Source organism: Homo sapiens, chromosome 16, assembly GCF_000001405.40.
Source record: "Homo sapiens chromosome 16, GRCh38.p14 Primary Assembly".
Lineage (NCBI taxonomy): Eukaryota > Metazoa > Chordata > Mammalia > Primates > Hominidae > Homo > Homo sapiens.
The window spans coordinates 67,427,256-67,453,945 of record NC_000016.10 but is presented as its reverse complement, the minus strand read 5'-3'; the positions used below and the strand labels follow the sequence as shown (position 1 = coordinate 67,453,945).

At 58.2% G+C, this 26,690-nt stretch overlaps 2 protein-coding genes across 3 annotated transcripts in view, besides 9 other annotated features; one reads left to right on the top strand and one right to left on the bottom strand.

Annotated features, from left to right (window-relative positions):
* The window catches only part of ATP6V0D1 (ATPase H+ transporting V0 subunit d1), a 43,139-nt gene extending 27,212 nt beyond the window's left edge, over nucleotides 1-15,927 (top strand). The window contains exons 2-8 of the mRNA NM_004691.5: nucleotides 231-402; nucleotides 9,240-9,418; nucleotides 10,768-10,847; nucleotides 14,595-14,672; nucleotides 14,799-14,975; nucleotides 15,076-15,153; nucleotides 15,257-15,927. Coding sequence (NP_004682.2) covers nucleotides 231-402; nucleotides 9,240-9,418; nucleotides 10,768-10,847; nucleotides 14,595-14,672; nucleotides 14,799-14,975; nucleotides 15,076-15,153; nucleotides 15,257-15,418 — 926 coding nt within the window. The 3' untranslated portion in view covers nucleotides 15,419-15,927. The remainder of the gene's footprint in view (nucleotides 1-230; nucleotides 403-9,239; nucleotides 9,419-10,767; nucleotides 10,848-14,594; nucleotides 14,673-14,798; nucleotides 14,976-15,075; nucleotides 15,154-15,256) is intronic.
* Nucleotides 1,677-2,360: an enhancer, noted in NCBI's record as "H3K4me1 hESC enhancer chr16:67485489-67486172 (GRCh37/hg19 assembly coordinates)". NCBI's record gives its function as "activates a minimal SCP1, AML or CMV promoter by ChIP-STARR-seq in primed H9 embryonic stem cells {active_cell/tissue: H9 hESC(primed)}" and the evidence as "EXISTENCE:reporter gene assay evidence [ECO:0000049][PMID:30033119]".
* Nucleotides 6,191-6,690: an enhancer, noted in NCBI's record as "H3K4me1 hESC enhancer chr16:67481159-67481658 (GRCh37/hg19 assembly coordinates)". NCBI's record gives its function as "activates a minimal SCP1, AML or CMV promoter by ChIP-STARR-seq in naive H9 embryonic stem cells {active_cell/tissue: H9 hESC(naive)}" and the evidence as "EXISTENCE:reporter gene assay evidence [ECO:0000049][PMID:30033119]".
* Nucleotides 8,565-9,188: an enhancer, noted in NCBI's record as "H3K4me1 hESC enhancer chr16:67478661-67479284 (GRCh37/hg19 assembly coordinates)". NCBI's record gives its function as "activates a minimal SCP1, AML or CMV promoter by ChIP-STARR-seq in primed H9 embryonic stem cells {active_cell/tissue: H9 hESC(primed)}" and the evidence as "EXISTENCE:reporter gene assay evidence [ECO:0000049][PMID:30033119]".
* Nucleotides 9,813-10,436: an enhancer, noted in NCBI's record as "H3K27ac-H3K4me1 hESC enhancer chr16:67477413-67478036 (GRCh37/hg19 assembly coordinates)". NCBI's record gives its function as "activates a minimal SCP1, AML or CMV promoter by ChIP-STARR-seq in primed H9 embryonic stem cells {active_cell/tissue: H9 hESC(primed)}" and the evidence as "EXISTENCE:reporter gene assay evidence [ECO:0000049][PMID:30033119]".
* Nucleotides 16,393-24,145, bottom strand: HSD11B2 (hydroxysteroid 11-beta dehydrogenase 2). 2 transcript variants are annotated; one of them, XM_047434048.1, is made up of 6 exons: nucleotides 23,883-24,145; nucleotides 23,167-23,245; nucleotides 18,106-18,318; nucleotides 17,804-17,989; nucleotides 17,560-17,697; nucleotides 16,393-17,358 (listed from the first exon to the last, which is right to left on the bottom strand). In XM_047434048.1, the coding sequence occupies exons 3-6, from the start codon at nucleotides 18,269-18,271 to the stop codon at nucleotides 16,943-16,945; spliced, it is 906 nt and encodes a 301-aa protein (XP_047290004.1). In that variant the 5' UTR covers nucleotides 18,272-18,318; nucleotides 23,167-23,245; nucleotides 23,883-24,145; the 3' UTR covers nucleotides 16,393-16,942. The 2 variants fall into 2 exon arrangements, with proteins under 2 accessions (XP_047290004.1, NP_000187.3); NM_000196.4 differs by lacking the exons at nucleotides 23,167-23,245; nucleotides 23,883-24,145 and adding an exon at nucleotides 22,433-22,825.
* Nucleotides 17,959-18,460: an enhancer, noted in NCBI's record as "H3K4me1 hESC enhancer chr16:67469389-67469890 (GRCh37/hg19 assembly coordinates)". NCBI's record gives its function as "activates a minimal SCP1, AML or CMV promoter by ChIP-STARR-seq in primed H9 embryonic stem cells {active_cell/tissue: H9 hESC(primed)}" and the evidence as "EXISTENCE:reporter gene assay evidence [ECO:0000049][PMID:30033119]".
* Nucleotides 22,707-22,886: a silencer, noted in NCBI's record as "silent region_7605". NCBI's record gives its function as "represses an Ori minimal core promoter by ATAC-STARR-seq in GM12878 lymphoblastoid cells {active_cell/tissue: GM12878}" and the evidence as "EXISTENCE:reporter gene assay evidence [ECO:0000049][PMID:35858748]".
* Nucleotides 23,107-23,156: a silencer, noted in NCBI's record as "silent region_7604". NCBI's record gives its function as "represses an Ori minimal core promoter by ATAC-STARR-seq in GM12878 lymphoblastoid cells {active_cell/tissue: GM12878}" and the evidence as "EXISTENCE:reporter gene assay evidence [ECO:0000049][PMID:35858748]".
* Nucleotides 24,862-25,396: an enhancer, noted in NCBI's record as "H3K4me1 hESC enhancer chr16:67462453-67462987 (GRCh37/hg19 assembly coordinates)". NCBI's record gives its function as "activates a minimal SCP1, AML or CMV promoter by ChIP-STARR-seq in naive and primed H9 embryonic stem cells {active_cell/tissue: H9 hESC(naive and primed)}" and the evidence as "EXISTENCE:reporter gene assay evidence [ECO:0000049][PMID:30033119]".
* Nucleotides 25,397-25,931: an enhancer, noted in NCBI's record as "H3K4me1 hESC enhancer chr16:67461918-67462452 (GRCh37/hg19 assembly coordinates)". NCBI's record gives its function as "activates a minimal SCP1, AML or CMV promoter by ChIP-STARR-seq in primed H9 embryonic stem cells {active_cell/tissue: H9 hESC(primed)}" and the evidence as "EXISTENCE:reporter gene assay evidence [ECO:0000049][PMID:30033119]".

The window sequence follows — 26,690 nt, the reverse complement described above, 5'->3', positions numbered from 1 at the left end:
AACTTTGGGGCTCCATGTGCTGGATTGTGGCCCAAAGATCTGGTGCATCTCCAGGGCCTTAGCTGATTGCCCTGTGGTAGGCCCTGAGCCAACAGGGAGATGGAGATCAGGGTAGTAGCGGGACACAACTGCAGGGGAGAGCTGGGGCTGAGTTGGGGTGGGGATGGGGACTTGGGACCCTTGGGGAGGCCCAGCAAGGCTAGCCCTTACCCCCTACCCTTGGGTTTCAGACTTGAAACTGCATCTGCAGAGCACTGATTATGGTAACTTCCTGGCCAACGAGGCATCACCTCTGACGGTGTCAGTCATCGATGACCGGCTCAAGGAGAAGATGGTGGTGGAGTTCCGCCACATGAGGAACCATGCCTATGAGCCACTCGCCAGCTTCCTAGACTTCATTACGTGAGTGTGCTTTGTAGCGCCTTCTTCTCTTACCTGGGCAGGATAGCTACACCTGCAGGAGCTGGGTTCAGTGTGGCTTAGGCTAGCTGCCTTCGTGCCTGTGTCAGCTGTCAGAGCTGATGGCAGCTCTGTCAGGCCAGGTGTCCCAGGACCCTACCTTCAGAGTCCTCCCTGACTGTGTGCGTGGTCATTCAACAACCCTGGACTTCCAGGCCACCACCTATGAAATGGGTCACCAGCACGTTCACTACTGGCTGAAGATATGATGGGCAGGCAAGAGTGTCCCACGCAGTAGTGCTGGATGAAGCCTCTTCCCCCAGTCACATAGACTGGGGCAGGGAAACCTGGGAAGGTGGGAGCCCTTTTTCTTACCCTACAGCACCCAAACAGAACACTCACCAGGCCCCACTCCCCATGCGAGGGGTCAGGTGTCGGGATGGACAGAGCTCTGAAAGGCCAAGGTCTTAGGATAGGCCCATTCTCTATCTGCTCTGACCATGGCCCTGGGTCTCAGGGAGATTGGTTCGGAGTAGAGTTGAGGGGCAGGCTGAACGTCTAGCTGCCTTTCTCAGTTCTGACGCAAGCCCTCAGGAACTCAGGTGGGCAGGCTCCCATTCTTATGACTCTTGGCTGCCCCAGCTTCTTCATTGTCTGACCCTTGGGCACAGCTCTGCCTTCATCAAGCTCCTGGAGAAGCTGAGTGGAGGAAAGGACCTTGGGATCTGCAGGCTCGGGGAGGGCACCTGGACTGCACGGGGAGGGCACCTGGACTGCACAGGGAGGTAGGGAGGGTCCCTTTGCAGGGATGTCCCAAGAGCCATGAGCCAAGTCCTGGTGGACAAAGAAATAGTCCCAGCCTAGGTGGTGGCCCCACAGGGGTGGTGAGCAGAGGCATGCTCAGCGGCTAGCGTCTAGGAGAGTACCCTGCATTGGCAGAGTGTGAGTGTGCAGTATGGTGAAGCATTTCCCTGAGCTCTCTGGGTATTGTCTAACTTTTACCATTCCTTGATTATGGTGCCCCCACTCTTTTCCTTGGGACCTGGCACACCTGCCCCACTTGTCCCTGCAGGGACAGAGTTAGATGCCTGCTGCCTGGCCTGATTCTTATCCCCTGCAGTTAGGAGCCACTTGCCCAGGATCCACTTGCTCAAGAAGTGCTGCAGCCAAAGGGCTCCATTCTCAGGCAGGAGTCAGAGGCTGGGACACCTGAAGGGCCAGGGAACATGCCCAAGCTAGGAAGCAGGCCCTCTCCTGGCCACAGGCCTCCTTTCCTGAGAGTCTCCTTGCTGCCCTGGCCTCCATCAAGGTATGCCAACATGGACCTACTGGGGCAGGAGGCTGGTAATGGGGTGTCTCTTGTGGTGCTACATTAGGGGTCACATTGCAGCTCCCCATCTGTTGATCATTCCCTGGCCTTGGTCTCTGTGTTCCTTGCTGCAAAGCCAGAGCTGAGGACATACCAGGAAGCAGTACATTTATTGCTAGAGCCCAGCCTGAGACTTGTTTGCACAAGGCTGCTTCAGCTTCCTGGTGAATGTTCTGGCCTTGCCAGCTAGGCTGGCCAGAGGAGGCCTGACCCCATGCCCATGGTCAGAGGGTAGATATCACCCACCCCACTGCCCACTGGCCCACCTGCCTGTGCAGCTAGCCTTTGGCCTGTCTTGGTCTTAGCCTGCCAGGCCATGAAACTGGAGAGGGCTCTGAGCGTGACTGAGGCTGCACAACCACAGCTGGAGGTTGGCTGCAAGCACCAAGGGTGCTTAAAGCAGCCAAGTGCTGTCCTGTGGAAGGCTGTCCGAATCTGCCACTTCCCACCCCTTCCATTCATGGGTGATTGTGGCTTCCAGTCCTACCAGCCACTCACTCCTCCCCTCACTCAGAAGGAGCTCAGCAGTCACGTGTCAGCCCATCAGGGCCTGTGTCTGCTTGGTCCATGACCTCGTCATCTCCAATGACCTGCTCCTTTGCTCCTCTGCTCTGCACTTCAGCCATCCCCACTGATGGCTGCCCAGGCCCATGTCACCACCTGGAACTGCTCCACCCCTGAAATTGCTGAATCAGGCACCTCTCTACCCACAGCCTTCAGGCCCTCCAGCCCACTCTCAGTCCCTTGTGGGACACGGGTTCCAGACTCAGCGGGACACTAGGCCTTGCTTCCTCCCCTGCTACCCCTTCTGTCTTCATTTCCCGCCCTCCCCAACTGAAGTTCCCTGGTCCATCATTCGAGCACTTTTCTGCCAACATCCGCAGCTCTCTTGGCCGCCCGACTCATGGTCCCACCCGGCTGGCAGCCCCCCAGCCCTGGAGGAATCCCAGCAGCCTCCAGCCTGGAGCCGCTCTCCCCCTACCTCCACTGCCGGGAGGAAAGCTGGGGAAGCCAGCCTTGAGTGGGGGGTCATCCTTGCTGCCAGGCTTGCATGCTCACCCTCTTAGCCAGCCTCAAGCTTTTTTCTGCCTGGCAGCCTCTGGCTCTACCTACTCAGCACCCTGCAGACCCCACCAGCACTGCAAAGACCACCTTCCCGTCTTAAACACCATTGCTCTCCTGCCCCCAGCCTCCTCTTGGGCAGGTGGCCCACCTTCTTCACAAAGACAGTGGAAGCCAATAATATGCCTCCCAGTGCTGCTTCTGCCCCCCACCGCCCGAACCCTATTCCAATGGCAGAAGTGCCCTTCCTTTTCTCTTGGATCCTTCCACCAATGTTCTGAGTGCCCTCACCTTACTCCCTGGATGCTGAGTGGCCACTCATTTGCATTCCTGTCTGTGCAGGCACCTTCCCTTCCGAATTCTTCTCTTCAGTATCTAAGCAAGCTCAAATAATTAAAAAACATCTCGTGGGACCTAAACTTTTACATTCACTGTCTGTTCTCTCATTTCCCCTCATCCCTCGAGCTTTCAACAGTCCCGTCACTCCACCACAAGGCCCTGGCTAAAGCCACCCCTGACCTTCACGTAGCCAAGGTCTCCAGGCGTGACCACTCTGCGGTGTCCACCCCCCAGCCCCCCTAGCTATTTCTTTGCTCCCATGATGCCTCTCTGACTTAACTCCTACCTCTCTGGCCACTCTCCCTTCTCCGCTCTGCCCCAGCAGGCCATCCCCAGTGTGTGTGTGGAGTGTTGCAGGAAGGGGTGAAGCCTTCCATAGAGGCCTGAGCTCCCCCAGGCTGGGGCTCACGATTGGCTTCCCTGAGGAGGTGGCTAGTTTGGCTGAGGGGAAAAGCATTTAAGGGAAGCATTGGAATAGGGGGTTTTTAGGTTGAGGGAACTATACATGTCCTGAGTAGCGAGCATGGTGCACCTGGCTCTGTGCCCCACACAACAGCCTCCAGATATGGGTGCCCACTCTGGGAATGAGGAAGCTACCCTAGAAAACGCAGAGGAATATACTCAGGAGAGTACAGTCCTCCAGGCAGTAGAAGCATCAGCGAGAGGCCCTGTCCTGGGTGTGAAGACCTGAGGGAACAGTGCCCTGACTGCCCACAGACAAAGTTGGCCCAGCTAGGGACAGAGGTTGGGACCATTACAGAGGTCACCTTAGCTCCATCCCTCAGGGCCTCATAGTTGCTTTTGGAGCTGCCCCAGGCTGGCTGGAGCAGGCTTCTGCCAGGAGGTGATGAAAGCAGGAGCTGGCTGAGGCTGCCTCTGCCCTTCTGTGTGAGAGACAGTGTCCACTGCTTTCGTAGGTCCTGGCCAGCCTTCAGCCGCACACATAACCAGTACCTGCTCTGGGCCAGGCCTGGGGCTGGGAGGGAGGTGCCTGGATGCAGTGGGATGGCACCAGTGATAGTATAGACAGTGCCTGGAGAGGACTGTGAGCAGCTTTAGCAAATGGAACTGGGGGTCACAGGTGGCTTCACAGCATTGGGAGGACTCCAGGATCAGGTGGGGATAGAGAAGCCACTGGAGAGAGTAGGTGGCTGGAGAAGAGGCAGCTGTCTGGCATGAGGCAGCTGTCTGGCATGGGGCCGACAGCCTGAGTGAGATAGGGCCCCTGAAGTAGACTGTCGTCATGTGCTCTTGAGAGGATCTGGCTCAGTTTCATGCCACTAACATGTTGTTATGTCACCATGCCCAAGCCCAGTCATTACCTTGCTGTGGGACTTGGGATGGTGTCTGTCAGGGTTTTTTGGCCTTGGAGGGGACTTTGATCTGGGCCATTCCATGATGTTTTCCCTTGAGAGAGTTGGTCCTAGAAGACATGCTGAGAGACTTGTGGGAGGAGTGAGTGCGGCCTCTGGGGAGTCCCAGGTGGGCTTTAAAGGCCTTTGTCTTTGAATGAGTGAGCCTCCCTGGAGGGGGCCTAGCCCAGGTGCCCATTGGCAGAGCCTGGGCATGGGTAACCTGCACCACCTGGGGGATCTGAGGGCCCATATTTCTCTTGTGTCAGGGGCCTCAGTGCCACCAGCCTGGAGTGGGCAACTGGTAAGAGGCTTTGTCCCAGGACAGTGGCCTCAAATGCCTAATGGGCCTGTCAGCACATCTGTGATTTTCTCCAGGACCTGTCACCCCAACCTTGGGGCCCTGCTTGGTCACAGAGGGACATCAGGTTCCTCTGGCCCCCACTCCCCTGGCCAGTTCCTGTCTTTGCTATCTACAGTCACTGTTTCTGGGTCCATGGCAGGACTCTGCAGTTGGGGGCTGTAGGCCTGCTGTGGTTTCAGGGTCCTGGGCTAGACCTGGCTCCTGCCTTGAAGGAGTGCCAGCACTTTCACTCTTCTCCTGGGGTCAAGCATGCAGGAGCTCCGTGAGGCCCAGAAGGCTCAGACCAGGTGGAAGGACCCAACTGGGCCTTGGGGAGAGGCAGGACTTTTATGAGCAGGTTAAAGCTCACTATCTCTGTTGGAGCCACACCTCACTCATATGCTTTTTTTTTTTTTTTTTTTGAGCTGGAGTCTCACTCTGTCGCACAGGCCAGAATGTAGTGGCACGTTCTCGGCTCACTGCAAGCTCCGCATCCCAGGTTCAAGTGAGTCTCCTGCCTCAGCCTCCAGAGCAGCTGGGATTACAGGTGTGCGCCACCACACCCGACTAATTTTTGTATTTTTAATAGAGACAGGATTTCACCATGTTGGCCAGGGTGGTCTCAAACTCCTGGCCTCAAGTGATCCGCCCTCCTCGGCCTCCCAAAGTGCTGGGATAACAGGCATGAGCCACAGCACCCACCCTCATCTTCTATTTATTTTATTTTTTGAGATAGGATCTTGCTCTGTTGCCCAGGCTGGAGTGCAGTGGCATGATCATAGCTCACCTGCAGCCTTGATCTCCTGGGCTCAAGTGATCCTCCTGCCTCAGCCTCCCAAGTGTCTGGTATTACAAGTGCATGCCACCACACCTGGCTAATTTTTTTGATTTTTTAATAGAAATGAGGTCTTGCTATGTTGCCCAGGCTGGCCTCAAACTCCTGAGCTAAGAGAGCCTCCCACCTCTGCCTCCCAAAGTGCTGGGATTACTGGTGTGAGCCACCATGCCTGGCCCTCACTCATCTTGATATGGAGGAGAAACTAAGTCTCGAGAGGTGGTGTGCTGAGGCCATGGACAGAGCTCAGAAACAGTGATATTTCTGTTCACTTTCCACTCTGCACAGGGCTCTTCAGGACCCAGAAGTGATTGAATACAGATACTGTCATTAGCAGCTCACTGGAGCACCTGCTGGGGACTGCAGTGGACAGGCTGGCAGGGTTACCCAGGCATCATGGCTGCCTCACCAGCACCAGACCAGCCACCCGGGGTTGAGAAGCCATATTGTTCCAGCAGGTGGCACCAAAGGGCGCAGCAGAGGGGCAGAGTTGGCTAGGGACTCTGAAGGCTTCTTGGAGGAAGTGGCTTCCTAAACTCCAACCCAAGATGTCTGTGGGCCCAAGCTGAGTTTTGAAGGCACAGGGCAAGGGAGGGCCTCTGGGCAGAGGAATACAGACGGCCCCACCCCCACCCCACAAGGGCCTCTTTGGCCTGGCGGGCAGCCGGCCCTCCACTCCCCAGCTGTCTTCCCCTGGAGGGAGATGCTGACCAGCTGGAACCTTATTCCCTCCTATTGAGGCCAAATGAGGGGAGGAATGGTGGAGTGGCTTTCTGGGGGCAGGGAGGCAGCTGCTGAAGCCAGGCAAGGAGGAAGAGGAGGATTTCCCTGCCTGCCGAAGGCCTCGGCCTTGGGAGAAAGGCAGACTGCTGGGCCAGCCTTATCTCTGCCAGGCCTGTCCAGCCTCTCATCTCCTGAAAAAGAGGATTCTGCCCCTCACTGGGCAGGAGAGAAAAGCAGGGCTGCAGCAGCAACAAGCTTATAGCCAGCCCGGCAAGGGAAGTGCTGGGCCTGGCACAGGATCGCCCACGATTGGCCTGGCTTGGGTTTGAAGAGGGCCTTGAAGGGGCTGGGGTAGTGCGATTGTGAGTGGCCCTTACTAGGCTCAGCATTTCCCCCACATAAACAGATGCCCTGAGTGGGGGGCGCAAGGAGGGGGACGTTGAAAAAGAGGAGATTGGCTGGTGGGGATCCCTCTGAGAAAATGAGACTAGGTGGGGTATGTAGAGCCAGGCAGGGGGCCCTGGTCATGGGTGGAGGTGTGTGGACATTGGCCATGGGGACGTGGAGCTCCTCTGCTTTGTGGTGTGTTAGGGCCTGGTGCTGGCCCTCTCTGGGCCTTATCTGCTCTGACAGTGGGGCTGGTAATGCTAGTGGTTGTGGGATCACTTGGATAAGGTGGGCCTTGGGTGTGCTTTTTCTCCCTCTTCCCGTCCGAAAGGGAGGGAGAGCATAAGAAAGCATCCTTCTGCTTGGGGGCAGGGGATTTGTGACTGTCTCAGGGAGCACCAAGGCTACATTGGGGCTGGATGGGGTGCAGTTAGAGTATTGCGGGGTGGCGCATATGCAGCATGGGTTCTGGGGTATGTGAGATGTTGGAGGCCTCATAGGCAGGAGGCGTGTGTGCTGTCCGGGGTAGAAAATATGCAGGCTGGAGCTGCAGACCATGGCCCAAAGCTCTGGCGAGCTCTGAGGTCCCTCACTCTGCCAGCACTGTGGGGTTGGGGGCAGGAGGCTGCCCATTTGGGCCTCTTGGCTTGCAGCTGCAAGTGGGCCCTGCTTAAGGCTCTCAGTTATGGTTGGGAGTTAGGGGACTGTCTCTTCTCAGTGCACATCCTGTAGCTGACCCAGCCAGATTGGGGGTGGAGAGAGGGCAGTTGCCTGGCTCCAGGCCCAGGAGAGCAAAGGTCTTCGCAGGGCGCCAGGCTGGGTGGGAGCTGGGGGAGTGCAGAGCAAGCAGGGGGAGTGGGGGTCAGGCCAGGACAGGAGCTGGGGCCTTTTCCTCCTGCCGCCTTTCTAGAGGGCCCTGTGGGAGCTCCCCCAGTGGCCAGTGCTTTGAGCCGTGGCCTGGGCCCTGGGCTGCCACCTCCCCTCCTTTCTTTCTTCAGTATGGGGGAAGACACCTCCTACCAAGGTCTTCTCTGGACAGCCTGAGCACTAGTTGCACAAGGTCCTGTCACAGGGCAGGGGCCTAGCTCTGGCCCACTCAGAAGCTAGGACAAGACCCGTGTTCAGTGCCCAGCTCAGAACAGCAGCCTCCACCCCAACTTTTATCCCATAGGTGCCTCACCTTGACCTTGGAGGAATTTCCCCTAGGCCTCATTTAGCTCCCTCATACCCTGAGTTCATCTTTGGTGACAGACTGGAGGATAGTTGTGGCTACTGCAGCCTAACTGTGGAATGGGGCTTACTGCCTTCACTGCATCCCCACACAGGTGACTACACAGAACTCTCTGCCCCAGCCCCTTTGTAGCTGGTTGGAGGCAGAGCCTTGTCCCTTGCCAAGTCTGAACTGGGCAGTCTCACCCCTCCCCAGCTCCACAGCCCCCTCTGCTGCCCATGTACCCCACAGAGCTGGCCTTCTGCAGGGCAGAGTGATGGGAGCCTCGGCCTGGGATCGACCTGACCCAGCCTCCTGTTCAGGTCTCTGGGTCTTATCCAGGCCGTCCTGGGTGAATGCCCAGCCCTGGCCTCAGGCCCTAAAAGAAGAGGACAGTTCTCTATCTCTGGCATAGGCTGTGCAGGTCTGCCTGACCTGGGCCTTCATTCCAGAGAACCCCCACTGGCTCCTTGCTGGCCTTCCCTGGAGAAGCTTCTCTCCACTCCACTCCTCAGCCTTTCCTCCTGTCGCTATCTCTGCCTCTTCCTCTTCTGTCCCCACTGGGGGACAGAGTGACCCTAACTGGATGGCGATTCCCCTGCTTACACCCTGCTCATAGATCCCTAGTGCTCAAAACAAAGCCAGGGCCCTCCAGGCCCAGCCTCTGCCCCCCGCCTGCTGCAGCCCCGTGCTGCCGGCTGCTGCGCCTTTCTCTCCCTCTGCCAGTCCTGACCATGCCAGTTCCTCCAATGCATCCGTCACTCAGTGAGTGCCTCCAGGCCTTTGCACATGCTGTTCCCTCTTCCCAGAACACACTTTCTTCTCCCAGCCCTTTAATTTCCCAGGCTCTCACGCTCTTCACCCCCTGGGCTGGGCTGCATGTCTCACCTCCTGTGCCCCATTCCTGTGTCCTGTTAGAACACTGTTCATGCTGTGGGGTAGTTAGCTCGTGTCCCAGTCCCTCACAGGGCATGAATCCCCTGCCCCCGCCCGTTTGGGGGGCCTGTGTCTGTCCTAGGCCTCTGGCAGTGGGGGTGGTCAGAAGCTTGAGAGGAACATGGGGAGGGAGAGGAGACACTGGTGCTTATCCGCAGCACCCATGAGTCAGCATACATTGTTAAGGGGTGATGGCCTGTGCAGGCGGGCGAGGGCATGGTGCTATGCCAGGACTTCCCGGCCCCCACCTTGATGGGCTCCTTGCTATTGCCTGCCCCCTGTAGTTACAGTTACATGATCGACAACGTGATCCTGCTCATCACAGGCACGCTGCACCAGCGCTCCATCGCTGAGCTCGTGCCCAAGTGCCACCCACTAGGCAGCTTCGAGCAGATGGAGGCCGTGAACATTGCTCAGACACCTGCTGAGCTCTACAATGCCATTCTGGTGGACACGCCTCTTGGTGAGCCGCTGTGGTGGTCATGGGAGGTGGGCAGTGGTGTCAGCATCAGCGCATCAGGGTGGGGTTTGTGGACCCGCTGGGGGGCGACCCTGAGCCAGAAAGTGAGACCTGCCCACTGCTGCTTACCTTTGTCTCCCTTCAACTTCCTCCTCCGATTCTCTCCTCACTTCACCCCTCTTCTGCTCCTGTCCTGTTGCTTTTGCTGGGCCAGGCAGGCTACCCAGGGCCTGACTGGGACTGTCTCACTTTGTGAAGCAGTCTGATCTCCCAGAGTGCAGAGGAGGGCTGAGCTCATGGAGAAGAGTGAGAGAGGCCCAAGTCCCTTGGAGTCCCGAGAGCTCTGACAGACTGTGGCCCGGAGCTGGAGCCTGAGTAAAGCCAGAGTGGCTGCCTGTGAGGCAAGGAGCGAAGCAAACACTGCCACTTCCCTCCACCGAGCAGGTCCCCTGGGCCAGGTCAGACAGCATCCAGCAGGATGCAAGGTCCGTATCAGAAGCCAGGGAAGGGGAATCAAGAGCTTCCTGCAGAGCCCTGCTTAGGCAGTGCTAGTTCCTGCCTGCTTAGGAGGCCGAGGAGAAGGCATTAAGTGTCCTTGTAGCCAGAGTCCTGGGCCTGGGGTACCACCTCTAAGAAGCCACCAGGGTTGAACTACAGGGCTCTAAGCTGCACTGGGTTCTGAGCTAAGAGGCCTGAGCCCTACCTGCTGACCTTGTCTGCCGTAGGCTCTCCCAGCAACTCTGAGCTGGTTCTGGGCTGTTTGTGGCTTCTTCAGTTTCTCCATCTTTAATGAAGAGATAGACCAGTGAGTCTGCAGGCCCTCTTGGGGGATGGGGGTGCTCTATCCTGCTCTGGCCTCTCTTTCCAACCCCACAGTGGCCCCCTGGGTCGCTGGTCTGTGCCTACCCTGCTGTTGGACTTGTCCTAAGGAGGAGGCTGGTTTTCCAAATGTGGACGCCAGGCCTTCCTGGGAGGTGTAGAGAAGTAGGCGTTAGGCCCCGAATCCACAGCTGCCCCTCCAGAAGGGAGGATGTCATGGCCTCTTATGCAAGCCTGTCTTTGGCATGGTCTGAGCTTGGGTCTGCCCCAGCGGTGATTAGATCATGTTATGGCTAGCTGCCTCCTTTATAAATCAATTTTAGGAGCAAGGAGGCAGGAGAAGCTCAGGTCAGTGTACATGGCCCAGAGCATTGCTTCTGCCACTTCCAAGGCAACAGCCTAGGCTGGGGACCCCTCAATACCCAGCCCTGTGGGCCTTGTGGCACGGGCACTCTGTGCCGTGTAGGGCATTTGAACATCAGGATTCTGGCCTAGGCCACCTGCCCACCCCTCAAACCATGTTTCCTCCCCAGCGGCTTTTTTCCAGGACTGCATTTCAGAGCAGGACCTTGACGAGATGAACATCGAGATCATCCGCAACACCCTCTACAAGGTAATGCCCCACACAAGCCATGGGGGATTGGCCTGTCGGTGGGTGGGGCTGTGGGAAGTGGTAGGGTGGTGATTTATGTGAGGTGCTGGGACAGGATGCAGCTATGTCAGGCTCCTATCCCAGGGACTTACTGCTTATTCTCTGGCTCCCATGCTGGGCACAAGGCTGTGTGGAACAGGTTCTCCATCCCATAGTGCCTGTGACGGGCTCAGATAAAATCAGCAGGAGTGGCTGGTGCTCCACCGCTGGCCTGTTACAGCTGGCTCCTGGACAGCCGCTCCCCCAGCATCCAGGAGGGTCATGGACTACCACCCAGGCCGTGGCCCCTGGAACCGCCCTACCTAAGCTATTGCCAGCAAGGACAGGCACTTGAGCAAAGGCAACAGTGTGCTCACTTATGGTGGGGGGAGGGATCTGGCGAGGCATAGCTAGGTCCTCATGTCCCTCGTAGGTTCCCAAGCTTGGAGTCAGTGCCACTTCCCACTGTCCTCATCCCCTGCCCACCTCTTGCCTCCCACCAGGCTGTAGCATAGACTGGGCAACCCCTGAGGATTTCTGGGTCAGCACTACCCTGGCCCAAAGAGATTAAAGAGCCAGGGGACCGGAGAGGAGAGGAAAGTTTAAAAATTTAAAAAAAAAAAAAAAAAGCCCGAGACCAGTTAGGTTAGGGGTGTCTGGGATAGACTCTGCTCTGGCTGCGGTGAGGCACTGAGCTATAGCGCCAGGACCCCAGATGGGCTGCAGTCAGGAACATGGATCCGCAGTGGGCAGGCCCCAAAGCAGGGCTGAGGATGGCCCTGGCCGAGGGACCTGCTGACCTCACCTGTCTATTGGGTGAGAGTCCTCTCCTGCCCTGGTTGGAGCGAGCTGGCTGACATTTGGCTGCAGCCTGAGCCCAGGCCTGCCAATCTCCCTGCAGGGGCCTGGGCCAGAGCACAGTGAGGGTTGGTGGTAGGGGAAGGGCCTGCCTGGAGGTTGCAGTGGTGTCGGCAAGGGACCAGCACGTGCAGAAGGAAAGCATAGAGCATGGGCCAAGTGGCAGGCAGTTTGCTGTGGAAGGACACATTCCAGATGGACAGGGGAGAAGTCTAGAAGAAAAGGCAGGCATGGGATCAAGTTACCCAGGGCTTTGAATGTAAGGCCAGAAGTTTGAACATAGTCCCGTGGGCAGGGTCAGCCAGTAGAGGTTTCCAACAGAGCAGAGTCTTCTCAGAAAGCCCCTTCTAGCCACAATGTGGAGAGCAGATTAGAGGGCCTGAAACCAGAGGTGGGAAGGTCGTCAGCTTCTTTAATCCTTCAGACTGCGCTAGGAACTAGGAAGGTGTCATTATCCCCATGTGAAAATGGGGAAACCGAAGGCTCAGAGAAGTAGGGTGGGTTGCCTAAAGCCACATAATAAGTCACTGGCAGCGCCAGGGATCACACCTGGCTCAGCTTGTTTGCAAAAGTGAGTGCTCTCACCCACTCCGCTAATAGGGCACAGGCCAGCCAGTTAGCTGAGAGGAGAGAGAGCATACACACGTGTGTGTTTGTGTGTGTGTGTGTACGCACGCGCCTAGCTGGCCTGTTGCCGGGTTGCCTGCCCTGAGACAGGGTGAGGGGTGCGGCTGTCCGCCAGCCTCACCCATGCCCTCACCGGGCCTGACTGGTTCTAGCTGGAGTCGCCGGCGAGGGCTGCCCAGGCACTAGCTCATAAACACAGACCCAATGCTGTGGGCCTTGTGCCAGGACTGCCAGCCTGTCAGGCGATGTCCCAGCCCGGTGACCACAGATGGGAGATTAGGCGGACCCTCAACCACCCAGCAGGTGGGAACAGTAGGCAGCTGGTGCAGCAGCCGTGGATTGGCAGACTCCAGGGGACAGGGCGGGGGTGGGAAGGTGACTTTGGTACCGGGGTTGCTGGGATCTTGCCAGTTTCTTTAGCTGCCCTAGCCTCCAGAGGAGAGTCCCACCAGCCTCCCTGACCCTGGGATCAGCCTCTCCTGGGATTGGTACAGATTGGCTAAGCAATTGGGTGGGTAGCAGGGCATGGAGCCCAATACCTGGTTGGTTGGTTCCCCCACAAATAGGAAGTGCAGGGCCCCACTGGGGCAGGCTGTGGGATTTTTGACATATCCAGCTTGGCTGGCCACAGGGAAGGAGGTGGCTGGGGACAGACCCCTAGAGGGACTGTGAAAGGTACCACCAAGCCATGGGAGGGGTTGGCAGCTGTCTCTGCCACCCAGGCCCTCTCATTCCTGGGATCCTCTGTGCTGGGGTCAACCCTCTTTTCCAGGCTTCTTACTTCCTGACCTGTCCTAGATTTTTGTTTCCCGTGATCCCAGAGGTCACTCTCAGGCCTTCCCCTGAGTTGGGCTTGCCCAGCATTGCTGGCCAGGGCAGGCCTGGGCTCACAGACTCCTGGGTCTCATCTCATCTCTCTTGGAGCACCACCCAGCAGAGCTTGTGAGCCCAAGTTGGCTGATGGTTGGTGGAAAGGTCTCCACACCTTGGAGTTCAGACCTCGGTATGAAAAGCTTTCCATGCCATCCAACCCTTGCCTACAATCTAGAAGAATAGTCTCTAGCCTGTGGAGCCAGGGTCTCTGAGCCCATGCCAGCAGATGGGACCAGGGAGGTCTGAGTGGAGGGTGGCCATTACAAGGGAGCTCCCCATGGGGCCCGTAAGATCATCCACCTTCCTTGGCATGGAGAGGTGTTGGGAGGAAGCATGGCTGCTTTTGTGAGTGAGCGTTGGGAGGGACCTGGGGCCTGGGCTGACCTCTTCTTTCCTCATGCCCAGCAGATCCAATTTGCCTGGGCAGGGAGTGCTTGTTCCCGCCGGCAGCCCATGTGCCTGCCATTGTACTGTGCCCAGCTGACGTCCGTGTAGGCAATAACCATCCCTCAGCAGGAACTGGCCTGACAATTTTGTTCCTGCTCTGTGATGCTGAGGGGCTGCCTGGAGGATGGGAGGAGGAGGTGTTCTGTAAGGGAAGGTGGCAGAGAGGGCCGGGGGCACTCAGTCCCTGCCATCCCTGTGGACTTTCAGGCGTGGCCTTTCCTCACCAGCCTACGGACACCTGTTTTTTTATTCTTTTCTGAGACGGAGTCTCTTTCTATCGCCCAGGCTGGAGTGCAGTGGCATGATCTCAGTTCACTGCAACCTCCGCCTCCCGGGTTCAAGCAATTCTCTGCCTCAGTCTCCCGAGTAGCTGGGATTACAGGCACCCACCACCATGCCTGGCTAAATTTTTTGTATTTTTAGTAGAGACGGGGTTTCACCATCTTGACCAGGCTGGTCTTGAACTGACCTCGTGATCCACCTGCCTTGGCCTCCCAAAGTGCTGGGATTACAGGCGTGAGCCACTGCGTCCAGCCACACCTGGTTTTCAGAGGCTGAGGAAGGGGAGGTTTGGAAAGATTTGGGGAAAAGGAAGGCAGAGCAGCAGGGGAAAGTCAGAGGACCCCTGCGAGCCCAGCCTTCTGTGAGGTGAGGGGGTGAAGGAGACTGTAGCCTGAAGCAGACAGTCGGGTGGGCCCTGCCCTGGCACTCCTGGGTGGGAGGCTGTGGGCAGCTGCCACTTGGCTGATTCACAGAAGTGTTTCATTGGCTTTGCTGTAAGGGCTGCCCCGGCCCATCCATGGGTGTGCTTGTACCCACCTTGAAAGGGGCTAGGGAGGGGAGGAGGGAGCTGTGAGGGCTTGTGCCTAGCAAGCCCTCCAGAGCTTCCTTGCCTGTGCTGAGCAAGCTCCATACTCTCTACAGGCCTACCTGGAGTCCTTCTACAAGTTCTGCACCCTACTGGGCGGGACTACGGCTGATGCCATGTGCCCCATCCTGGAGGTGAGTGCCTGCCCGCCCTCCTGCCTGCTGGTGCCCGCTAGCCCTGGCCTGGGGAGGCTCTGCCAACTGACTGGCTACTGCCTCCTTCTTCCTCCCTCTCTTCTTACCTGTGCACTGGCTCCACAGTTTGAAGCAGACCGCCGCGCCTTCATCATCACCATCAATTCTTTCGGCACAGAGCTGTCCAAAGAGGACCGTGCCAAGCTCTTTCCACACTGTGGGCGGCTCTACCCTGAGGGCCTGGCGCAGCTGGCTCGGGCTGACGACTATGAACAGGTCAAGAACGTGGCCGATTACTACCCGGTGAGTGCCCCGGCTGGCAGGACAGCGGTTGGATGTGTTGTCACCAAGCACCCCCACCCAGAACCCTCATGCTTGTGCTTCCCCCCACCCCCCTGGCCAGGAGTACAAGCTGCTCTTCGAGGGTGCAGGTAGCAACCCTGGAGACAAGACGCTGGAGGACCGATTCTTTGAGCACGAGGTGAGTCTGCAGGGTCTGCTTGTCAGAGGGAGGCCAACCTGGTGGTTTAGACCTGACTCTGTGGCCATGGCCACCTGGACACCACATCTGCCCGTGTCCACAGGTAAAGCTGAACAAGTTGGCCTTCCTGAACCAGTTCCACTTTGGTGTCTTCTATGCCTTCGTGAAGCTCAAGGAGCAGGAGTGTCGCAACATCGTGTGGATCGCTGAATGTATCGCCCAGCGCCACCGCGCCAAAATCGACAACTACATCCCTATCTTCTAGCGTCCTGGCCCAAGGCTCTCAATTGCACTCTTTGTGTGTGTGTGTGTGTGTGTGCGCGTGTGTGTGCGTGTGTGTGTATGTGGTCTGTGACAAGCCTGTGGCTCACCTGCCTGTCCGGGGTGTAGTACGCTGTCCTAGCGGCTGCCCAGTTCTCCTGACCCTCTTAGAGACTGTTCTTAGGCCTGAAAAGGGGCTGGGCACCCCCCCCCACCAAGGATGGACGAAGACCCCCTCCAGAGCAAGGAGGCCCCCTCAGCCCTGTGGTTACAGCCGCTGATGTATCTAAGAAGCATGTCACTTTCATGTTCCTCCCTAACTCCCTGACCTGAGAACCCTGGGGCCTGGGGGCAGTTTGAGCCTCCTCTCCCTTCTGTGGGTCGCTCCCAGAGCCATGGCCCATGGGAAGGACAGAGTGTGTGTGTCCTTGGGGCCTGGGGGGATGTTGCTCCTCAGCTCCCTCCCTCAGCCCTGCCCCTCTGAGACAATAAAACTGCCCTCTCTAAGGCCAACTGTCTGCTGTCTCGTTTAGGCCCTGGTACCTCTCCATGACCCCTAACTTCCCTCGTGACCCCACCTTGCTAAGCAACCCTGCCTAAGCCTCCACCTCCCTCCCTCAGTCAGCAGCCGAGATTCTTCAGGGTTGGGGAGTCCCAGGGAGATAGCCCCTTCTTCTGCTGGAGGCTCAGATGCATACAGGCCTGGGGAGCTAGATGTTGGCCCTGGAGGCCCCCCTGGCCTCCCCAGTTGCTTCAAGCAATTGGGATCAGTGTCATTACCCCCATTTCACTATGAGGAAACCCATGGTCTGAAATGATTTGCCCCAGGTCAGTGGAGGAGGGGGAGGTGTGAACCAGAGTCTACCAGGGGAATCCCAGCCTCCACGCTGAGCCCCAGGAGTTGCCACCCTGTCACACGGCCACACTGTGTCACTCAGCCAGCCAGTCAGTGACCCCCTCCAAACAGCACCTGCCGCATTTTAGAAGAAATAAAAATTTGTCTTTATTTAAAATGTGGCAATTGGGAAGTACAGTACATGCTTCCCTGTGGCTTGGGGGTGTGTAGTTGGGGCCCTAATTCTTGAGCCAGTCAAGAGACACTTGGGATTTAGCCCTCAATTGCAGCACTGAGGCACTGGTGCCGAGAAACAATCCTGAGGGGGTCCCCAACCCACCTAGTCACTCCTTAGTTTGCAGAGGCACTATCTGCAGAGTCCTGTGAAAGGCTGCAGTGAAGTCTTGCATGAGACTCCCCATCCAGCGGAGTTCTCCAAGCTGCAGGGTAGAGCGTTGTGCCAGGAGGGTGTTTGGGCTCATGAAACAGTGGAGAGGCGCAGAGGCTCACTGGGAAACCTTGGCCTCACCGGGCCTGGATTGGGCATCGGCAGTGGGCATGAAGTGGGGGTGGGATTCTTTAGGCCAGGGTCCAGGACACTTGGGGGATCGTAATGCTGGGGGTTTTCGGGGAGGAACCAAGGGCTCACGGAGCCTCCTGTGCTGCAGTGGCTGGGCCATAGGTGCACATGGCTCACCGAGCCACTGCTGGGGAAGGGCCGGGGCTCAGGTTTGGGTCCTGGGCTGCGTCCTGTGGTGGGGTAGTGCCAGGCTGGCCAGGCTGCAGTGCTCGAGGCAGACAGTGACTGATGAAGAAGGCCTGCAGGAAGCGGCGCCGCAGGCCTTCAGGCAGGTAGTAGTGGATGAAGTACATGAGCCCCAGGCCCTGGCCGGGGTAATAGCGGCGGCGGGGCCGAGCTGCCAGCAGCGCATCTGTGATGGCATCTACAACTGGGGTGAGGTCGGACATGGCCAGGCGTAGCGAGTGCAGGAACTGCCCATGCAAGTGCTCGATGTAGTCCTTGCCGTAGGCCTGCAGCAGCTCTTGAGGCAGGTTGGCCAGCAGCAATTGCTTGCGCTTTTCCCACTGACCCACGTTTCTCACTGACTCTGGGGAAGGAGTGGCAAGGTCAGAGTGGGATCAGCTAGGGGAGCCAAAGCCAATTAGGACTGTTTAACCCGCGCCAGGTCTGCAGCCAAAACTACACCCCCAACCAAAACCATGACCATTCATCAAACCTGACCTGCCCCCATAAGACCATTCCCAGCCCCATTCCCCACCCCCACCCCACCCCCAGCCCTGATTCCCACCTGTCTTGAAGCAGCCAGGCTGGATGATGCTGACCTTGACCCCCCAGGGAAGGAGTTCACAGCTGAATGTGTCCATGAGTAGCGCCACGGCCGCTTTGGAGGTTCCATAGGCCCCCAAGCACGGATATGGCATGTCCCCTGCGGATGGATTGGGAGTGGGGCAGCTCAGCTTTGGCAAGGGGCTCCCTAAGCCCTCCCCCACCCCAGGGGGCTCCTTTTTGCTCCAGTGGGGGGGGGCACTCACCCGCTGGGCTCCCCACAGTCACGATGCGGCCCCTTGAGCTGCGCAGCAGGGGCAGGAGGCCCTTGGTCAGCTCGAGCGCGCCAAAGAAATTCACCTCCATGCAGCTACGGAAAGTGGCCACTGGAGACAGCTCCGCATCAGCAACTACTTCATTGTGGCCTGCGTTGTTGACGAGGCCCCACAGGCCTGGGGTCACAGAGCAGAGGAGGGAAGCCTTAGGTCAGCCCAGCAGCAAACTTCCAGTCCCCGTGTCCTTCCCACTCCCCTGCCACGCCCTTGCCTGGTGGACACTTGCCACTGACCGGTGCTGGTGGTGTGGGCCTTGGTGAACTCTAGCACGCGGCTAATGTCTCCTGGTTTGGTCAGGTCCATCTGCAGCAGCCTTAGGCGAGGGGAGCAGCAGGTACGCAGCTCGATGGCACCGGGGCTGTTCAACTCCAATACGGTGGCCAGCACCGTGAAGCCCATGGAGTCCAGTTTCTTGGCCGTCTCCTTGCCAAAACCAGAGTCACAGCCTGGCCAGGCCAGGGCAGTCAGTGAACTTCCACTGTGGCCCAGCCTAGCCTGAGACAACCCCAGAATCACCAGGGTCTGGATGGGATCCAGGCCCCTGCAAACCAAGCCACCAGCAGTCAACAACCCTAACTCCTTCCCTAGGCCCATCCCTGGCAGGCTGTGTCCCTCTAGCTGAGCCCTGGGCAGTAACTCTGTGACAGCTGTCATCTGCCTGACTCCCCGTGGCTACCCCACTAATGTGGCTTACAGAAGAGGAAACTAAGGCCTAGTAATGCTAAGTTGCTTCCCAAATTCACACAGGTCAGGTCTGGGACAGTCCCAGGCCCCAGTGTGGTTCTGCTTTCTTGATTTCAGGCCACAGCTCACAGGCACAGGCACAGTATTAGTAGGAGCCTCCCTTTCTCTTTTTTTTTTTTTTTTTTTTGAGACAGGGTCTCGCTCTGTTGCCCAGGCTGGAGTGCAGTGGCATGATCTTGGCTCACTGCAACCTCCCCTCCTGGGCCCAAGCATTCCTTCCTCCTCGGTCTCCTGAGTAGCTGGGACTACAGGCCTGTGTCACCACGCCTGGCTGGTTTTTTCTTTTTTTTTTTTTTTGTTTGAGACGGAGTCTCACTCTGTTGCCCAGGCTGGAGTGCAGTGGCGTGATCTCAGCTCAGTGCAACCTCTGCCTCCCGGGTTCAAGCGATTCTCCTGCCTCAGCCTCCTGAGTAGCTGAGACTACAGGTGCGCATCACCACAGGCCTGGCTAAGTTTTGTATTTTTAGTAGAGACGGGGTTTCACCATGTTGGTCAGGCTGGTCTCTAACTCTTGACCTCGTGATCTGCCTGCCTCGGCCTCCCAAAGTTCTGGGATTACAGGCGTGAGCCACTGCGCCCAGTCTACCTGGCTGGTTTTTAAATTTTTTTGGAGAGATGGGAGTCTCACTATGTTGCCCAAGCTGGTTTTGAACTCCTGGGCTCAAGTGATCCTCCCACCTTGGCCTCTCAAAGTGCTGGGATTGAAGATACAAGCCACCACATCCGGCTTCTCTTCCTTTCTGACTGCCCAGGCCTCTCCTTCCTTAATCTGGACTCTGAAGCAGCCCCTTCTGTAGTCCTGTCCCTTCCTGCCCTCTTGAAGCCCTTCTCTACCTAAGCAGCCAAAGGGATCTTTCCAAAAATGACAATATCCCTCTGTGCTACAAACCTTCCCAGGGCTGCCACAGTACTCAGAATGAAGCCCAAGCTCCCTGGCTCAGGCCCTGTACAACATGAGCCCCACCTCCCTTCCCAGCCTCAACACCCTCTACTATTTTTTCAGGCTGGAGGCAAGCTGGAGGCCCATCCCCACTTCACCCAGACCCTTGGAATTCCAATCAGTGGCAACAGGGGTGTTTTCTGAGCCCCAGACGACTTGCCTCCAGGACAGGGACCATGATAGATGAAGAAGAGAACAGACCTACATTTGAATCCTTTCCCACACCCACCAAGTGTGACCGAGGTCAGTTACCACTCTTGGAGGCTTAATTTCTGTCTTTGGTATGCGAAGAGAAGAACCACCAGGCAGAGCCAGTGTAGGGGTCCATAGTACTGATAAGCCCCTGCCTCCTTGATTGTTCCCATGCTGATCCTGGCTCCATGGGCAGCCAGTGAGGGAAGGGGAAAGGCCAGTGAGCAGGGAGGCTTTCTGTTCTGCTCCTGCTCCCACCCCTGGCCCTCAACCCCGCCCCCCAACCCCCATCTTCTGGAACAGAAGCTGCAAAGCAGCTCTGTTTCCCTACTCCTGGACCGCTCAGTACGGTCTCCCCATCTCAGCTCCACTCCCTCTACTGAAAACAGCACTGGGCAGGGGTCTTCGAGCTCCTGCTGAGGAGGGGTACTTCCCAGGCAAGTCTGCCTTGGAGAGGGAGGCAAGCATATGTGTGTGTGTGTGTGTGTGTGTGTGTGTGTGTGTGTGTGTAGACACACACATGCATATGTGCACTTGTCCGGGTCCCCCTCAGAGCAGACAGGTCCTCCCAAGGGAAACAGACCTCCCAGTTCTGACCTGAGCTGACCACAGGCCTCAGCTCTGTGGTCCCAACAGTCACCCACATCTTGCACACCCTCTTGCTCACGTGCACACCCTCAGATACCTGTACACACTTCCAACCTGGCTGGATGTTCTCACAACGGGCTCAATCCCTACCACCCATTGGCACACACATGTGCACATGTGTGCACACAGGCACCTGATCCTCAGCCCAAACCCTGATCCCACAGCTGAGCTCCAGGAGTAGCCTTGGCAAGTGATTCTCTGGGCATTCTTAGGAGGGAGAGGGGGAGTAGCAGCTCTGCCAGGCCCAAAACACAGTGTTCTTGGCAGGTGGGGCTGAACCTGGTTACCTACTTGTCTTCCAGCCGGGTGTTGAGAGACAACCCCCAAGTGTTCGGGCCCTGGGAAACTTGGAGTCTTACTGATGCTTGTACAGGGCAGGTTGGGTGGTCCTCTCTCCCCCAACCCCAGCTTTGCAACCAGAGATTGGAGGAGCCCAAGTTAGAGAAAGCATCCTTCCTCTCACCTCTCTCTCAGGCTCAAGGCCAGAAGCAACAGCAGCAGCACAAAGGCCTGAGGTGAGACCTCAGGAAAGACTACCCAGCTAGGCCACTAGTACCTGCAGATGGCCTGGGTCCTGTTGAGGTGGCTCACAAATAAAGCAGGAAGGGATCTGCCCTGTCCCCAGAGGCAGAGCCCACAACCTGGCCCCTACTTCATACCCGGGGTGTCTGTTGATTTTCCTTCCTCAAACCTCTGAAACTGGGGTCTGCTGAGGCTTCACACTGCGCCTGGAACCTGGGTCTCTCCTGTCCAGCCCGAATGCTTCCCCATCTCTACCATCTTTGCTGGAGTGCAAGGCCCTTGTGCCTCCTTCCCCCCTACTCTGCCTCAGCAGTCTGGCTTCTTACCTGATTCATGGCCCCTCCCAAGGAAACCACCTCATATCCCCTTCTCCCCACCCCCACACCCAGACTGGCTGTCCCCTACAGAGACCGTGTGTACTCCTGCCTTAAGCCTTTGTCCCACATCCTTTCTCTGATCCGAGATCCCTTTCATACTCCACTTATCTCCACTCATGCTCCAAGGCCCCACTCAAGGATTTCCTCCTCCGGAAAATTCTCCCAGCCCCATCTGATCACACAGGGCCCCTACTAGACCGAGGTCTCTGAGAAGCCAGGTTGCTGGCTGCCCCAGCAAAGGCCCAGCGCAAGGACAAAGCCTGGAGCACCTGTCCAAAGCCGTGGGTATTGGCGAGAGACCAGGCTGCTCCTCCCACGATGCAATGGAGTCAGTGCCCCCTGGCCTTTCTCCCCCTCCCCACTTCCGGCGGGCCTCCAGCCCCCCCCCCCCTTCCCCTTCCCTCCCTCTGGTGACAGATTTATTCCCTGCTCCAGACAAAGGAGCTCAGCTAGGCGGCCAGAGGCACCTGAGCCCAGCTCTCTAAGAGCTCCTTCCTGGGCACAGAGGACCAGGAGGGCTTGGGGGTGGGGTGCTGGGTGTAGGCTCCAAACTACTGCCTCAGCAGTTTGGCAGTGGGTGGCTAGACAGAAAGACAGCTGAATGTCCAGCTGCCCCTCACGGTGACCTCTAGCTTTTCTGAACTCCAAGGATCCCAGCCAGTGGGGGATGGGTGGGGTGGGGAAGTTCCCCATCTAAGCTCTTCCCTCTGGCCCGAGGAATGGGAGATGGGTATCTTAGGTGGGGATGTCAGGCAGAGTTCAAGGGGTAACGATCCTCCCTTCTCAAGGCCTCCGAAGTCCCCTGAGACTGCTCTCTTGGGGAAGGGAATGGCATAAACTCTCAAACTCCAGGAGGTTCCCTCTTCTCAGCCACCAGTCAGTTTCCTTCTCGAACCGGCCCACTCCCTGTCTCACTTTCCCTCCAACACTCCCCGCAGCGGCAGGTAGTGAACCCGGGCTTGGGGAGGTGCCCGGCGCTCCCTATTTGGCTCGCTCCCTGCACCCAGGGGTGGAGAACTCTCCCACTCTTGCGCTGAGGAGCCCGCCTTGGCTGTGCCCATGGGGAGTCAGTCCTGTTGAGTGTCCAGTCCCGCCCTCGAGCCTGGAGTCCCCGCGCTCCGCGACCCGCGCACTCACCGGTGATGAGCACCGCGCGAGTGGCCACCGGCAGGCGCTGCGGGCGCGCCAGGCGGGACAACGCGATCCAGCCGGCGGCGGCCAGCACGGCGAGTGCGGCCGGCGGGGGCAGCAGGCGCTGGCACAGCCAGTCGAGCGCGGCCAGCAGCGCCAGCGCCGCCAGCAGCGGGCGGCCCAGACGCAGGTCTGAGCGCAGCAGCTGCAGCAGCGCGCGGGCAGCCACGAGCAGCCAGGCGCCGCCCGACGGCCAAGGCCAGCGCTCCATGGCGGCCCAGCGGGCTGGGGCGGGGCGGGGCGGGGGCCGGGCCGGGGAGCGGGGAGAGAGAGCTTCTAGGCCGGGGCGCGGAGTGCGGGGGTACACCGGCCTGGGGCGCGAGAGGGACACTCGCTTTCTCTGCTCGCCCTCGGGCCGAGCTTATGAAGAGCCCCGGGGGCGGGGGAGAGGGCGGGGAGCGGGAGGGGCGGGGGCGGGGCTTTCCTTCACTTCTCTCCCGGCACCCCCCGCAGGGCAGGTGCTCCCCCCCCGCCCCGCCCCCTCGACCAGATTCGATTTGGAAAAAGCCGGAACAAAGTCCCAAAGTTGCTGCGCTCGAGGAGCCGCCTGGCTGCGGGCGGTGCTTGGGAGAGGGCCCGTCGGTCCAGCCCGGGTGCCCGGCCTCAGCTCTCCGCCGCGCCCCCACCCACACGCCCGGGGCCGCCAAGCCGCCGCGCTCAGGTGAGCACATGCCACTCACGCTTGTTCGGGACACCTGAGGACACGCACAACCGGCATCCCGGTGCCCTTTGCTGATCGCACCACCGCGGCCGCCAAGCCTGCAGGAACACCGCGAGGAACCAGCCGGTGCTCACCCGGTCTCCGCTGCCGCTGCCGCTGCCGCCCGCGCCCGTACACGCGCCGCACTCCCACGTGGTCGGCTGCGCCAGGTCCCTGGCGCACACACCCTAAGGCGCGCTCACCCCTGAGCAGCTCGCGGCCACAAAACCTGCCTGGGACAGGGGCTGGCGGGGGAACAGGACGACCGCTCCCGGTTCTTGGAGTCTCTGCCCCGTCTTTCCCTTTCCTTCCAGGGCTTAAACCTGGGGACGCACAACCCCACTTCCTGCCTCACAAATGTATGTGTGTGGGGGTCAGTGGAGGGTGGGGTGTCAGAGGAAGCACCTAGGTCTCCCATTACTTATGGCCCACCCCCGCCAACCCCAAGAGCCAGGCCAGAGGGACGTCGGTGAAGGCAGCCTCTAGGACAGGGTGGTCCCTGCCTTGCTCCCCTGAACCCCCAGGGGGTAAAATAAGTGGTATGAGTGTGGGTGGATTTTTCTGCCTGCGTGTGTGAAGGTCTCCATGCTTGTGTGTGGCCCAGTGGCCCCCCACCCTGCCCACCCCCGTGTCTGGCACCCTGTGCCTAGCATCCATGCCAGGGCTCTGCCAGGCACTGGGAGTTGGTGCCAGTACCTGGCTGCAGGCTTGATGCTGAGAGCAGTAGGTGTAGCCCTCGACAGAGGGGTCCCTGCTTCCCGTGGGCTTCCAGGCCGTGCTCAGTGCCTCATCCCTGCCCTCCCAAGATCCTGGGAGGTTGTGGACTCCCTGTCACACTTCCTAGCCCTGTTGCTCATTCTCTCTTAGGTGCCCAGGCTCTGCCAGGGTTTCAGGGCAATGCCTCCTCCAAAGCCCTCTCTGCCACCAGACACAGCCCCCTGGTGAGCCAGGGAAATCTCAGGGGAGGCTGGGAGCCAGACCCACCTAAAGGGAGAGTCTCTGGGTGGAGGACCAATTTGCCCTGAGCCACTCCTGTGCCTCCACCTATCCCTCCTCCTAAGGACAGATGACAGGCAAGCCCCAGACCTGGGAGGCAGGACTTGAATGAGGAGGGTGTGTGTGCCTGACCTTGGGTACATGACCTTGTGTGCCTGTGTTTGTAAGCACTTGTGTCCATGGGACTCTGTGGCTTGTCCAGGCCATTTGGTTGTGTCACTCCCTATGCCATGACCCTGTGTGTGCAAGTGAGTACATTTGTGTGCATTGTGTGTGTTTCTGGTAACTCTCTGTCCTTCGGTCTGGGTCATCCTGCCTCTAGAAACTCAGGGAAACATTCCTTTTCCAAAGTCACTGATTCCTGTTGCGGTGAATGTATGGCCCAGGCTTGGAGGCAGACACAGCACCCCTGGCCTGACTTCCTGATTTGAGCTGTAGAGATTGGATTGGCCAGACCCCCCAGCTTTAGCCACCACACCAAGAGTCTGGCTGTGGTTTCTCCAGCCTCAGTCCATTGGAGTCTTCCCCTTGGAGTGAGGAAGGGAGTAGAAGCTGAGATGAGGGTCCTGGGGAGCCTTCAAGGTCAAGGCAACACAGATAGAACCAGCACTTGCTAAAGCAGGAGTTGAAGAGTAGGGGGATGGGGCAGGAAGGCAAGATAAGGAAAGAGGCAGAAGCAGGGTCCTACACTGTCCTGGGAAGGAACCGTGAAGGCCACCATGGGGACAGACTTGCCAGGAGGCGATGTTGGGATTTGCGTTTGGCTGAAGAGTATAACATGGTTAGGATGAGGAAGGGGGTGTTTCCAGCTCAGCTTCTGGAACCTCGTGCCACCTCAGGCAGAGCCATTAGTCTTATGGGATTTGGGTCTTGGTGGGACTGGACCATCTGCCACATTTTTATATAAACTCCCCCTGCCCATTCATCCCACTTCCTAGTCCAAGCCTCCTCCTTCCCAGGACCTATGCTCCAGCTCCTGTGGCCTCCTCAACCACTGACCCCTTATCCCTTATTAGGTGGAGACGTTCTAGAAGTACAAGGTGGTTAGGGCAGTCATTGCTGGCAGAAGCTGGCCCAGCCCTGTCTGAGGCCTGTTGCCAAGTCGTGCCTGCCTAGGGGCAGAAAACCAGCCTCTGCTAGAAGCAGGAGTCTAGGCTGTCAGGGGCCTCCAGGGAAGAGAAGCGGAGAGGGGCAGTGGGCAGGAGCCTCAACAGATAAAGCAGGGCCTGGCAGGGCAGAGGAATGAAGGGTGACCAGGAGCAGAGCACCTGAGCCACTCGGCCCCTAAGCCCTCAGCCCACAGCCTCCCTTAGTCCTTTGTCCCAGCCTCCAACCCGCCTTGGTCAGAAACCTGGTTAACCAAACCCTTAGCACGCCCCAGGCTCTGGAGGACAAAGGGGTGGGCAGGCGGGCTCTGGTCTCCTCCAGCGGAGTCCAGCAGCTCACTGGTACCCTCTGCTGGCCGTGTAGGGAGAGCACGGCTCTGAAGGAGCTAAAGACCAGGTAACCCACCGGCTGCTGGGTTGAGGAGAGGGGAACAGATGTCTACAGTAGGGGGTACCAAGTGGCAGACTCCAGGAGCCCTCTCGCTCTGTCCTCTGACTGTACTTGGGTTCCTGGAGCAGAGCACTCAGCACTGACTTGTCACCTCCTCTTCCCTCTGCAGCTAAGAGGCTGCAGATTCCCAAGGAGCCCCTGCCCTGCACTCTGCTTCACGCCTTCACCCCCACCATGCCTCCTCTTGGCAGAATGGCAGAGGGTCCCTCTTCCTGCCAGTGGCCAGGGTCCTAGACCCCATTGCTCCCTGTCCTCAAAGACAACAAACTTGTATTGAGTTCCTACTGCATGCCAGGCCCTGTGCTGGGCACCACAGATATAGCAACTGACTACTGGCCCCAGCAGCAAGTGTACTGGCGCTAGCCTCACCCATTGGGAACCTCAAGCCCGTATCCCTTTCCACAAGCATCTCTCTTGTGGCTGGGCGTGGTGGCTCACGCCTGTAATCCCAGCACTTTGGAAGGCCAAGGCAGGCGGATCACCTAAGGTCAGGAGTTCGAGACCAGCCTGGCCAACATGGCGAAACCCTGCCTCTACTAAAAATCCAAAAATTAGCCAGGTATGGTGATGCATGCCTGTAGTCCCAGCTACTCATGAGACTGAGGCAGGAGAATCTCTTGAATGTGGGAGGCGGAGATTGCAGTGAGCCGAGATTGTACTACTCACCGCACCCCAGCCTGCGTGACAGAGCAAGACTCTGTTTCAAAAAAAAAAAAAAAAAAAAAAAAAAAGCATCTCTCTTGTGTTTTCTCCTACTGTTTTCAGCTGCATTTCTCTAAAGTTGTCCATAATCACCATCACCACTCTCCCCTCCCAGCCTTTGCCTGGGACCAGCTCCCAATCGTAACCCCCTAGTCCCCAAATCCCATAGACTCATCTCTGGCTTCAGCTAATTTGGCCTCTTCAAAGCCTCGGCCCTGCTGACCTCTCTTTCCTGCCCCAAGCCCTGTC